Here is a 14,206-nt window from a genome sequence, read left to right as displayed (position 1 = left end):
AAGCACTAAATTAATGGGAGCCACTGAGAGAGTTGAGGCCTAGTCATTTTCAACCTGTAGGATATAGAGCTGTGTCTGCTTGGGGCGGTAGTTGGGGTACAGCTTAAATAGCATTTGCTTTTGGGAGCTAGAATGAGATCTCCAATACTTTCAGATGATCCTGGGGGAAAGGATGTATTAGTTCCATTCACTTCTTTGATCAATATCTTAGTAATATAAAGGAAGTAGCATTCGTTTTTGAAAATTACTTGAATTAGGAGTTTTCTAGTTAGATTTCATTTCAATAAGGAATTATTGTTGAATATAAATTAGATTTGCCAAATGCTTAAGCTGCCCTGGAATGAACTTTAGTACCAGCCTGCTGTCCTGGACTAAATGATATGACCATACTGTAGGGCCAATGTATACTATTTAATGTCTTCATCTACTTAATTATCAGTTGCCCCCTGGTTTCCTTAAAGAGCTAATGATGCCCAACTATTTCTAGTGAGAGCACTTTGCTACTGAGAGAGTCAAACACCAAGGTGATTCTCTGAACACATTATCTGTGTGTGCTAGGTACAACAGCTAGGAAGAGGTAAGATGATGGTGAGTTACTTAAAGCTCTTAAGAAATGACCCTAGTAGAATATCCATAGGGGTTAAGAGATGAAATTTATTTCTTGGCTTAGCATTTTGGAAGAAATCACTTGGCATTTGTCATTGGCAAGATAAAAAGAAGCTCTGATTTCTGTTCTCCAGAAGATGTACTTGGCTTCTTCCTTTCTCTTAATTTACCCCTATGGCTCTCATTTTGCCTCAGAATGTGAAAGAATAGGCTTACTACTTTGCATTTAGTTAATTTGGTGAGTTCACTGTACTCTCATCTCTGGGCTATTAAATAGTTCAAAAATAAATATCGCATCACTTGTGGAATATGTAGCATGGATCTCATTTGAGCTGTGTTTTAAAACAAATGGTAATTATTTAACATTTACATCATACTTGGAAAGTATTTCAGAATAGAACTTTTTAATAATAAGTAGTCAAACACATAACTGGGATCAATGGGCAAGAGAAAAATAAAATTTTAATGTTCCATTGAAAGGTGTAGGCTCAGGAAGAGAGAAAAATACTTATGTGTATTTTGTATACTCATGTGTATTTGGGACAAACACAGGTTGTGGACGACAGGATTGAAAGTCAGATTAACTGGATCAAAATTCAGGCTGCGTACTGAGCCAGTCTAAGATTTCACCGAAATCTGGGAGCTGCTCCCACTCCCTGGACTTTTGTGCAAAGACTGGAGGAAGCTGTGAACAGCCTGGGCTAGGAGAACATTCCCCCTCTGGGAGGAGAGGCTCGCATGAGCTCATGGGGCTTTCCACCGCAGACCCAGCCTTGGCAGCCACAAAGTGTCCAGCAGTGAAACCTGGCCCTTCAGTTCTCAAGGGCCCTTTGGAACATATTTGACTCTAAGCAGAGGTCACTATTCCAAGAGTGACTCATGTCTTGGGGTTAAGTGGAGATGATGGGTGGGATCCATGAACAGATCCAGCTCTTCCCAATGTGGGGGGCACCAGAGTGCATAGCTTGGGAGGGTTGGTCATCCGAAGAGGCACTGCGTGGGTGCATCCCGGGCAAAAAGGATGAGAAGGTGATCCACTGGCTTCCATACCCTGGGAAAGGTGTCAGACCGTGAGGTCACATCAAAAGGTATGAGTGTGGGTACCTCCTTCCCTCCCCCGACGGTGGGGGCCTCATCTCTCGGCCATATCACCTCTGTGCCTTGCACACTTCCTGGCTCAGACTCAGCCCTGTCCACGTTCTCTTCCACCATCTGATCTGCCCCCATCTCCCAAAGACTACTTGTGGGGACTAGGGAGGTTTAGGGGTGTAGTCAAGCCAGATGCACCGAGGTTGCTGCGGTGGGAAGAGGGCGCTGGGAGGGAGGAGGACCTGGGGCGCAGCCGTGGTGGGTGCGCCCTGCCAAGAAGGGCGGGGGCGACGGGGCGCGCACGCGGAGGAGGAGGAGGAGGAGGGAGACGGGAGGGCGTGTGAGCGAGTGAGACAAGAAAAGGGAGCGCGCCCGCCGCCGCCGCCGCCGCCGCCCTCCTCTGGAGAGAGAGGCTGGAGTGAGGCTGTGCGAAGCGCCGCATTTCAATGAGGACGGGCCGAGGCACATCCCTGCACTAGTGGCCGCAACCGAGGCGCCGCGCTCCAGCAGCTGCTGCCGCCCAGCCCGGCCCCGCCGCCGCCCCCCAGCCCTGCAGCCCCGCAGCCCCGGCCGCGCCCAGCCCGGCGAGGACAGCACCAGGAGGCGGCCCCCAGCGCGGCCACAAAGACCCCCGGCGGCGTCTCTCCGCGGACCGGTGCGTGGTTTGCCTTCCCTGGGGACGGGAGCTGCGGGGAGGGCGGCCGGGGGACTCCGCAGAGCCCGCTCCGCCCGCAGCCGCGGGGCGCCGAGGGCAGGGCGGGCGCTCAGCTTGGCCCCGCCGCCCCGCCCGCAGTTCCTCGAAAGGCGGCCGCCCTGCCCTGGCCAGCCTGGCCCGACCCGGGGGCGTTGCGTGCGGGCGGCCCCGGGGCTGCTGGCACCTGCCTCTTTTGTTTGGTGCCATGGGGCTTTAAACCTGGAGTCAGGCGAGCGGGCCCTCCCAGGCTTTTCGCGTTGTTAGTGGAGATGGAGAGCCAGGGCGGAGGAGCTGGGAGAGGTGCTTGTCATTGTCAGAACTGGCTGCGGAGCGGGAACCAAGGAAGGAGTGGCCGGGCCCGGCCTCTTATTGTGTGTGTGCTTTTCCGTGTGCCCGGGCCAGTGATGTGTGCTTGTGGATGGGGTCGATTCGTGCGTGGTGGTGGCTGCAGCGTGGGTGTTGCAAGTACGTTTGCAGGGTCTCAAGTTCCTTCAGGGACAGCGAGGCTGCCTCATGTTCAAATTAGTACCTGCAGTGCTAAAAGCTTGCGGAGAGGAAATGGCATTTTTTCCTCCTAGTGGGAGCGCACGCACAGCCCCGCAATGCCCCACAAAAGAGGCTGCTTTTGAAAACCAGGTTTGCGCGGAATTGCTCCTGGATTTGGCAAGGAGATGCTTGGTCGGTGAGAGAGAAGATGAAAGGTTTCATTCAAACCGGCTCCCTCTCTGCTGCACCTGTGAGTGTGTCCAGGCACGGTGCACACACGTTCAGCGACCACACTGCAGGCTGTTCCGTGAATACATTTTATGACTGTTCCTAAATATATTGCCTTTCAGTGGGAAAGGAAAGTAGGACAGCGTTTTAAGTATGAAATGTCACATGGATGCAGGTCAGAAGGGATTTTTTAAGAGAGGTCATATAGAGGAAAATTATAAAAGATATGCACACACCCTGTGATGTCTACGTCCGTGGTGGTGCACGGGCCTGGAAGGTATGTGTGCGTTTTATTTCATGCCAGTCCACCTGAATCCTAATCCCACGGTTAAAATATGCCTTGGGACTTCCAGGTCCAGCATCTATTTAGATGTGGTAGCATTTATGCCATTTTTTTCTTGGTATATATGTGTGTAAATTTCTGAAACAAGAACCATGTGCTCATCTAGAGAAGGATGAACATAGATTCCTCAAAATGGTGAGAAATCCCACCGAGAACAATCAGGGATGTTGGTTTCTTGAAATGGCAGGATTTATAGGAAAAGCTCTGATGAGAGCCAGTGGCCCTTCTTACCTCCAGTGTCTGTGGTCGCTGTGGCTGAGGTGCTGTGGTTACCATCCTGGTGCCACTGCACATGTGCACTCAGGCCCTTGGCCACCTATGGTCTCTGAACATTGAGCTGTGTGTTCTCGCAGCCTTCCTGTGCAGAAAGTGTAAACCTGTGGAAGGCCAGTGGATCTTCAGAAGCTCATGCATGGTTCAAATGTATGACTAAGCCAAGGTGAGGGAAAGAACACCTATTTTGTTGCCACGAATAATTACCAGCACACTAGGGTGTGGAGTGTGCTCCATTTAGAGGTAGCTGTAGCCTTGAAAATGATTTCACTCTGAGTATGGTTTCTTTTGTCGACACCATTGCCCACTTTTGGACAGATTCAGGGAAGGGAAGTAAAAGGTGTAGCCCTGCCCTGGATGAACCTGTGATCCAGTTTGAGGAAATATGCAAATAAAATGAAACAAAGTAAACCTTTTTTCTATTTTAAATTGTTCTTTTCTTCTTTTTTCATCTGGTGTGGGAATTCTTGGTCCTAAAAGCCCGTTCCCCCAGGGAATTCTAACTATTGCCAAATTATTTGGCCTTTGCCAATTGTCAGTCACTGAGAATTCGATGTGCACTCTTTCTGGTAACAGAACTGTGCCATCCTTCCCTATGGCCCTGCTTGTTTTCTTTTAGTTTATATCAATTTGGAAGGAAATCCCCAAACTCCTAGTGTTGGGAGAATGATCACTGCCTTTAAGAATAAAACACAAACTTCAAAAGTGAGTTTGGCCTTTATAATTTACAAAATGTTGAAGAACTTAGTGAGTTGGTGTGAGTACTGGGAGTGTCTTCCACTCCACCCCCAAGACACACTCCCTTTTAGAAGACAAGAGAGCTCACTTTAAAACCATATAAATTAAAAAGTAAGAGCAGTTACCAATATCCTGGACAAAAATTGGTTCTGTTTAACAACTAATGCCTACAGGACTGGATATCAAGGGATCATTGTTTTAAAGTTATCTAACATCAAAATCAATGAAACCAGTTCAGAGCTGCCTATATATAACTGTTTTTGAAAAATGCAAATTCTGACTACTATGAGTTATTAAGAGGCAAGAAATAGTTTTCATATTTGGAGGGAAAAAAGTACACTGAACTCATTAACACTCCAGGTTTAAATCACACTTCATTTCTCCCTCCCCAGACCTTCAGTGGGGTCAGCAATAGACCCATAAGCAGGTAGATAGAATCACCAACATCAGAGGCCTGCTGACCACTGCTTCCTCTGTGTGCAGACGAGGTCTGGATCAGTTATGTGGCCTGTCCAAGGTCACTGAGCTAGTTAGGAGTGAGGGCTTACAAAATCCTGCTTCTCATGCTGAAGAGGAACCAGTTTCAAAGGAGCAAGGGATGGAAAACACCAGCTTTGGAGTTACAGTAAATCTGGGTTCAAATCTCAACCCCTCAGTTATAATTTTGGGACCCTGGATAAATTCCATATTCACCTGAATATTAATAATATTACCTACCTTGTTGGATTAATATGAGGTTTAGAAGAGAATTTTTAGCATATTATACAACTGGTTGATGAGTAATAGTGTCAGGTACCTCCTAGACCTTCAGTAAATATTGCTTTCTTTCACTTCATTTCTGGAGTACCAAATCTCTAGTCATGCTTTCAGGTGTGAAATTTTAGCCACTCTGAATGGATCAGAGGTCAGTTTACTGAGGGCCAAAGAAAGGTTGGGGAGACAGTGGTGCATTGGTGAGTGTTCACTGACCTTCAGAAAGGTGATGTCCATCTAATATGGTGGGACTTGGGGAGTGCTTGTAAGGTTCTTGCTCCAAATTTTCCATTTTCCTGATATTCTATTTCAACATGCCTGAAATTTTGTCATTAAAGTGTCTTTCCTTTGAATGCTTTGGTCTTTCCACTTTCTAGATTGTCTTGTTAAACCACAGATTCCCCTGCAAGGCTCCACAAACCTTTATCAACCAACCCCTCAGCAAGGATGAACTGGTCCTCCAGTCAGCTTGCTGTGGGGACCAGGGGGTACAGATGTACCTTTCAAAAGGTCATGAGATGGAGATCAGGAAGAAAGCAGGGGCCTCTCTTGCCAGAAAGGAAAGATTCTATTCCTGCTAGCTCTTTATGTGTCAGGGCCAGGAACACAAAAACAGATTTTATTAATAAAAAAATTAGTACTTATCACATGTCAGACACTATGATAAGAACTTCATGTGCATGAATTTATTTAATAGTTAATACTGACTGTGAGGTAGGTACTGTTCTCATTCCCATTTTGTGGTTGAGGAAATCAAGGCTTAAAGATGCTGAGCAAGTAGATTTTTCAAGCTTACACAGCTAGCATGGGGTCAAGTGTAAATCGACATCTTTAAGCCTCAATTTCTTCAATCACAAAGATAGTCTTAATGAAAGGAAGAACCAAGAAATGTACTTCCAAACATTTTTTCCTTTCTTGTTGTTCCTCTTCCTTCTCCTCCTTCTCTTCCTTTTTCTTCTTTTTTTAAACTCAACTTTTCTGAAGTACTAAATATAAGTAAATGAAGTATAGTGAATTTGCTTTTAAAAATATTGAATGTGTGAATATGTTGGAAAATCTTCTTTAAGTTGGTCCAACCTACAGATTGATTTAATTTGCTCTCCATCTGGCCATGGGGCACACAAACATTATGTAAAACTTTTACAATCTGACTGTTATGCTGCCTGCCCTCTCTTTCTGTCCCAGCCCACCATAGCTACTTCTCTTTCACTGTATGATGATATGAGAGCTTATTTTCTTCCTGCTACCAGGATTAGCCCTCTGCCCTGCAAGGAGCAGTGGGCTTTGGAGTCAGGGAAACCTGGAACAGAGTTGCTGGTACAAGCATTTCTCAACTGTATTACTTGGAGCAATTTAGGGGAAATTTTTCTGTGCCTCAGTTTCTTCTTTTGTAAGGAAGGACAATACTTTGGAAAGTTGTTGTGTCTATTGGGAATAATATCTGTTTGAAGCCTGATGAACCATGGGCAACCTAGGAGCTGCTTCTAACAAATTTGTGGCTGATTAATAAGCTGTTTCCACTGGGATCGGCCTCTTCTGCTGACAGCGTGCAGAGGAGCCTGTGTTTATTTTGTGGGAATTCACATCCCTTTCTCTTTCTGTCCCACTTGATAACTCATATTAAATGTGTCATCAGTTAAAGCAATATTTCCACCCAGCTGTTCTGAAGCAGACCCTTTGAAATCATGATCTCAAAATAACATCATCCCCAAACTTTGGGAGGCCAAAGGGGTTGGGGGGCGGGGGAGGATCACTTGAGGCCAGGGATTCAAGACCAGCCAGGACAATAAAACAAGACCCTCATCACTACTACTAAAAACAAGCAAATGAACAAAAAATGAAGGAAATTAACCAGGCGTGGTGCAGGCACCTGTAACCTGTAGTAGTCCCGGATACTCTGGGAGATTGATGCAGGAGGATCATTTGAGCCCAGGAGTGTGAGGCTTCAGTGAGTACTTCAGTGAGTGCCATCTCACTGCAGCCCGGTGACAGAGCAGGACCCTGTCCCTAACATAAAAAAAACAAAAACAAAAAAATATATATATATATATAACCTACATCAATATGTGTGTCTGCTTTTGTTTCTGGGGCTCGTAGGTCCTACTTGAAGTCCATCATGTCCTTCGGCAGAGACATGGAGCTGGAGCACTTCGACGAGCGGGATAAGGCGCAGAGATACAGCCGAGGGTCGCGGGTGAACGGCCTGCCGAGCCCGACGCACAGCGCCCACTGCAGCTTCTACCGCACCCGCACGCTGCAGACGCTCAGCTCCGAGAAGAAGGCCAAGAAAGTTCGTTTCTATCGAAACGGAGATCGATACTTCAAAGGGATTGTGTATGCCATCTCCCCAGACCGGTTCCGATCTTTTGAGGCCCTGCTGGCTGATTTGACCCGAACTCTGTCGGATAACGTGAATTTGCCCCAGGGAGTGAGAACAATCTACACCATTGATGGGCTCAAGAAGATTTCCAGCCTGGACCAACTGGTGGAAGGTGAGCGCTGTGAGATAACCCCCACGTGACCCTACAGGTTCCAGGCTCAGATTTCCAGTGTTGTAGCCGATTCGCATTTGCCCTCTGACAGTTGACATTCAGCCTTATGGCTGTGATCCTTATAGTTTCAGACATACGAATGTGCTATTGTGTAGAGTAAAAAGGAAAAAAAATTAATGGTATTGTCAGGTAGCTTATAATAATGTGCTAAGGGAAAAAGTCCCTAATTCTACAGCATTCTCTATTTTCTTTCTCATACCCATGCTGCATTAATTTTAAAAGTCCATTTTATCTCTTCAATCTCATAGTTTATATTCGTTTCTAAATGCAAATTAAACTTTTGCTATCACGATATCCGAAAGTACTTGAATTGAAAATGACAAATGGATCATGAAATTTTAGAGTTGAAAGGAACCTTAGATAGCTATCAAACCCATTAATTTTATCTTTGGAGTCTAAGGACCAGAAAATTCAAATGACATGTCGGTGGTTACGTGGTAAGATAGTGATGACCCTGGACCAAAACAGGTTTTCTGACAGCTCGTTCCACTGCGATGCTTCCTTTTGAGTTTAAAGGATTATTGTCTTTCTCTGATTTTTGAGGATATGCAGGGACTAATCTGTTCAGTTTAATTTTTTAAGTCCAATTTAGGTTAATAGTCATTATCTGTTTTAGACATTTAATGTGGAAATAGGACTGTTTGCGTCCACGGATGCAGCCTGGTATCTTATGCAAGCAGAGAAGGTCACCGACTCTGGGCTACACTTGCCTCAGGACTGACCCTGTTTGAACAGGGCATAAAGCCTGTCATTGCCTTAGAAATCATCGCCAATTAAAATGAGTTGGAGAAAAAAGACTGGGATTAAATGTATACCAAGGTGCAAAAAAAGCTAGCAGATCCTTTTTGGAGGGTTGATTTTTCTGAAATTGAGATCTCAAGGCCCTGATGATGAAGAAGTAGATGGCACAAAAGAATCTGGGAAAGGGAGGTTGGATGGAGTGTTGGAAGAGCTTGATTTCACCTTGAGTTCATTTTTACTCCAGAACTATTTGCTCAGGCCGTGTAACTCAACTGGGTCCAGGAGGGATGCCATATAATCCCTCCCTCTCTTGTGCAGGTAGCAGGAAGCACCCGTTGCAGCCCCGTTGGAGTTGGGGGCTGCTCTCCCCTGACCGCACACTGACAGAGCCCTCTTGTCCTGCTTTGTAACCAGTGTATGTATGTGATTCAAGGCTGGGGACTTCTCCCTTTTTGCTTCCCTTCATCCCTTGGCAGAAATGCCAGCCTGATCACAGTGTGACTGGCCTTGAGAGCGTGCAGAGGAGCCTGTGTTTATTTTGTGGGAATTCACATCCCTTTTCGGTGACTTGACATGCTGCCAACATGCCTGTGGACTTGGCCTTTTTCCTTCTATTCAGAGGGTGGAACTTCCAGTAAATTAAAGGAGAAGAATTAACATGAAATTTTACTGTTTCAGCTTTAATTTCTGTGCCCTGTCCTTTGCATGACCTTTGGAAATCCAAGGTTAAATGAAACATTTGGTGGTATAGTCTAGGGGATCTGGATAAAAGTTATACGCAAAGTCAGGTGCATGACCAGTCAACAAGCCGTCCCTCTGAGGGCCGGTAGTACTGTAGGGAAAAATATGGCAAGATCTCAAAGCACATCCTAAGACAGCCATGGGTTGACACCTCACTCTGTTCCAGAGTCACTTGTGTAGCATCTATGGGGGTTGGGGTACTTCAATCAGTTTCCCACCCAGAAATGATCTTTACTTAGAAGTGGCCGAAGATACTCCAATGACTCCCATCCACCAAGGAGAGGGTCTGGGAGGTGGTAGATGACAGTACTCCCTTCACATCTAGGGACCAGCAAAATTATGGCATGCTTGTCACCATCTTCTTTGTCTTTTACTGCAAAATAATGCTTTCTCTGAGGGACTGATGTCTTGACTGAAGGTAATAATGATAGCTCTCAGTTATTGAGCATGTGCCAGGCACTGGCCAAATCCCTGCATATATGAATACATTTAATTCTCACAATGATCCTAGGAGGTGGGAACTGTTATCCTTATATTAAGGTGAGAAAAGGAAGGTACAGTGTGGTTAAATGATCTGCTCAAACTCACAAAGAAAGAAATGGTAGAGTTAGGATTTGAACCCAGGAAGGCTAGTGCCAAAGCTTGAGCTCATAACTACCTCTAAGATGCTGTGTGCTATGAATTCAACTACTATATTGAGTTTTTCCCCTCAATCAATGTGAAGTAACTGCCGACTGAATATTCTGATGTTTAAAAATGACTTTTTTGGGAAAAAAAAATTATCTGATTGAATGAATGGTAACTTTGGTACAGTGTGTGAGTTCACCATGTTGGCTGCATTTATTTTTTGAATTTTCATTTAAACAGATTTTTTTTCTAATTCATAACACTGACAATTAGCATGCAGCTGCACTTAGTGTTTAAATAGCTGGAAATTCATTTAGATTCGCCTCTTTGTCAATTACATTTTTTGCTTAGTCTGTTAAAATGCAAACCGTTGGTTCATATTCATCATTAGGCTCATATCTCTGACTTTACATACTAATTTTATGTAAACGTCAGTGCATGTTATTAGCTTTTCATTTCCCCTTCCAATATGATGATGTTTGAGTTTTAAATTAAATCCTTTTAGTGGGTGCAGTGGCAAGTGTATTGGACTTATAGTTATTTTCTTGCTCTTTCTCACTTGCTCTCAGACTAAAAATTCTGAATTACAATATTTGTGAATTTCTTTATCTATGACAGTCTTGTGGTCACTGTCACTGTTTTGTTTTTATCTATGGATTATTATGCCTAAGTGTGGTTTAAGCATGTTGGTAGAGCTAGCTGTATGTATTTAGCTGAGCCAAAATCATATAGTCAGTGTGAATGTGTGTGTCTATGATTGTATGTGTGTCACCTATGCACATATGTATGTATATACACACATATTCACACACATACACTTAAGAGCATTCCAAAGGTGACACTCTTGTTTGCTTTCAAAATGGCCTTAATATGTTTTTTTAAAAAAATCATGATGCTTAATAAGGAAAGTTGAATTGCAGGCCTATTTCCGCAAGTGATTCATCTTGAGACTTGGCCTCATTTCCCCCAATTTTGCACCATCTATATTCTACTGTAGGTAGGTAAATGTTGTGATGATAAATAAAGGTGTCACATTTAAAGCCTTTGAACTCTTAGGAGAAAGATGTAATGTAAACCTGGAGCATTGATGGATTGACTGATTTGTCCTTCTTTTAACATCTTATGAAAATGTACATGTGAGAGGGCCAGAACATTTTCTTTAAACATTAAGATAAAAACTCTGTAGATATGTAATCTTCTGGATACAAGTAAGTGAATTTGTTCATCAGATCTGCGCTATTAGAGATGAGTCCCTCTTCTTCTTTGGTTCTCATGTATGCCTTGGCTTTTCACTAACCCTGTATGGACGTTGCCTGACTCTGGAGCTGCAGTTTGCATAAGGGCTTTTTCCAAGTTTCTATCATAATCCCCCTCTCAGGATTAAACCCATGCTTCACCCCACAGTTAGGGAATCTCTTTCCTACCACAGCCTCTGGGTTACCCATCTTTTCCTATTCCCTAATAGAGCATCCTCTACTTTATTTCCCTATTTCACTGGCTTTCTCTATGCCTCTCCTTGCTATAATGAATTTTTTAAAATTAATTTTTGAATAGATATAAAATTTGCTCTTCCTAAAATTCCTCAGAGGGGACCACTTTACTAGTTTCTTTTTCTTTTCTTTTTTCTTTCTTTAAAAACAAAAGCAAAAACAAAAAACAGGGTTTTGCCATGTTTCCCAGGCTGGTCTCAAACTCCTGGGCTCAAGCCATCCACCCACCTCAGCCTCCCAAAATGCTGGGATTTCAGGCGTGAGGCACTGTGCCCAGCCTACTAGTTTCTTGAGGGTCCTCTCAGAGATACCAGTGCATGTGAAGGACACATATACAGCAATGCCCCCTTATCCTGGAAGGAAATACGTTCTATGACACCCAGTGGTTGCCTGAAACTGCAAATAGTACTGAACCCTGTGTATACTGTGCTTTTTTTCCTGTGAATACATACCTATGATAAAGGTATGTATATGATGCAAGGTATATGATAAAGTTTAATTTATAAATTAGGCATGGCAAGAAATTAACAACAATAACAAATACAATGGAACAATTATAACAATATACTATAATAAAAGTTATGTGAATGTGGCGTCTCTCTCAAAACATCCTTTTGTACTGTACTTGCCCTTCTTGTGATAGAGATGGAAGAAGCAAGATGGCGTGAGAGTTCATCACACTACTCAGAACTGCATGCAGTTTAAAACTCCTGAATTGTCTCTTTCTGGATTTTTTCATGTAATATTTTTGGACCTCAGTTGACTGCAGGTAACTGAAACCATGGATAAAGTGGGGCAGTACTGTAATTTGCCCAGAAGGTAACTTTTTATGCCAACAGTTCTGCACCTTGCTTTGTGTACTTAACAATATATCCTGAAGACCTTTCCATACTGGTACATCCAAAACTACTGTGTTCTTTTACTGACTTCATAGTACTCCTTTATACAAAGTTACCATCATTAATTTAACCAGTCTTTTATCAATATGCTTTTAGGTTGTGTTCAATTATTTGTTATTACAGACAGTTGTGTGATGACTATCCTTGGATAGATGTTTTCCAGTCATGTAGGAGAATATCTTTAGGATAAATTCCTAGAAGTAATATTGTTGGGTAGAGAGGTACAAGCATTAAAGTTTTAAGCACTATTTGCAAAATTCCCCTTCATAAAAGTGGATTCAGTTTACACTCCAACCACTTATGTATGAAAGTGGCCGTTTCTCTATCCTCAACAAGATGTTTTGAAATCAGATGTTTCCCATTAACTAACCCATTAAGAAAAGAAAACTGTATGTCTTCTCATACAGTTTTTCATATAATTTTCACATAATTTTCATCTTTTCATGTGTTTAAAGGGCATTTGTATTTCATTTTCTGTGCATTGCCTCTCCATCATTTATGATCATTTTCCTATCAGGTTAGGGTTTTTATTAACTTGTAGAATTTTTTTTCTTTTAAATATATTAACTCTTTGTAATAATGATTGAGAGGGCAGTCATGTGTCATTTAATAGTGTGGATATGTTCTGAGAAATGTGTTGTTAGGCAATTTTGCCATTGTGGGAACATCATAGAGTGTACTTACACAAACATAGATGGTGTAGCCTCCTCCACACCTAGGCTATATGGTATAGCCTATTGTTCCTAGGCTACAAACCTGTACAGCTTGTTACTGTACTAAATACTGTAGACAATTATAACACAATGGTATTTGTGTATCTAAACATCTCTAGACATAGAAAAGGTACAATAAAAATATGGTGTTATAATCTTATAACCAAATATTGTGGCACATGACTCTATTTTTTCCAGATTTCTCTTTAGTGACTTCATTTATTGTGTTTTTTGCCGTGTAGATGTACAAAACAATTATATAATCAAATGTGTTATTCTTTATTTATAGCTTGATTTTCATGCCTCTTGGGTCCTTTGTACACTGAGATCATAAAGCCATTTTTCCTCATTTTCTTGTGGTATGTTTATGTTTTCACTTAAAAAATATTTTAATGGAAGTCATATTGTTATAATATGTGAGACAGGGATTCAGTTTAACCTTTTCTTCCCCCAGGCTATTTGCTTCATTTCTTTAACATTATATTTTCAGATTAATTTGGACTTATACAAGTATCACAGAGATAGGAAGTTCCTGTTTACCCTTCACCCATCTTCCTGTAATGGAACAGCACACACAATCATGGTGCAATGAACAAAACTAAGAAGTTAACTTTGGTACAATACAGTAGTTGAACTACAGGCCTCATTTGGCTTTCCTTCGTTTCCCCACTGATATCCTTTTTTCATTCCAGAATCACACATTGCATTTAGTTGTTGTGTCTGCTTCTCCTTGAAGCTATGACGGTTCTTCAGTCTTTTCTTATCTTTAATGACCTTGACAGTTTGAAGAATACCAGTCAGTTATCTTGTAGAATGTCCCACAGTTTGGGTTTGTCTGATGATTAGATTGATGTTATGCACAGAAGTCATGTTTTGTCCTCAGTACATCATTTCAGGGGGTACATGATGTTGATATGTCTTGTTGGTTACCTGTGATCATTTGGTGAAGGCAGTGTCTGTCAGGTATATTCACTCTAAAGTTATAATTTTCCCCTTTGTAACTAATATTTCGGGAAGAAACTTTGATGCTGTGTAAATATCTTGTTTCTCCTTAAGCTTTTGCCCATGAATTTTGGCATTTATTGGTGGATCTTGCCTATAGCAGTTATTACTATAGTGTTCTAATGGTGATTTTCTTTTCCCTCTTTACTTTCCAAATTTCTAAACATTACTGTCCTCCATTTTCCTGTCTTTGGATCATCCACTGTGATCTCATCAACTGACATTATTTTA

The 14,206-nt window shown here is 42.6% G+C and overlaps 1 protein-coding gene across 6 annotated transcripts in view; it reads left to right on the top strand.

Moving 5' to 3' along the window:
• The first annotated feature begins 1,524 nt into the window (after positions 1–1,524).
• Positions 1,525–14,206, top strand: part of DCLK1 (doublecortin like kinase 1) — a 363,288-nt gene continuing 350,606 nt past the window's right edge. For 4 of the 6 annotated variants that reach the window (NM_001330071.2, NM_004734.5, XM_017020847.2 and 1 more), the window contains exons 1-2: positions 2,082–2,350; positions 7,308–7,702. In NM_001330071.2, coding sequence (NP_001317000.1) covers positions 7,327–7,702 — 376 coding nt within the window. In that variant the 5' untranslated portion in view covers positions 2,082–2,350; positions 7,308–7,326. Of the gene's footprint in view, positions 1,695–2,081; positions 2,351–7,307; positions 7,703–14,206 lie in introns of those variants that run through there. The other 2 variants (NM_001330072.2, XM_047430767.1) reach the window with 1 other exon arrangement.

The sequence above is a fragment of the Homo sapiens genome, chromosome 13, assembly GCF_000001405.40.
Source record: "Homo sapiens chromosome 13, GRCh38.p14 Primary Assembly".
Lineage (NCBI taxonomy): Eukaryota > Metazoa > Chordata > Mammalia > Primates > Hominidae > Homo > Homo sapiens.
Note: the sequence above shows the minus strand (reverse complement) of the source record. Positions and strands in the feature narration are given on the sequence as shown.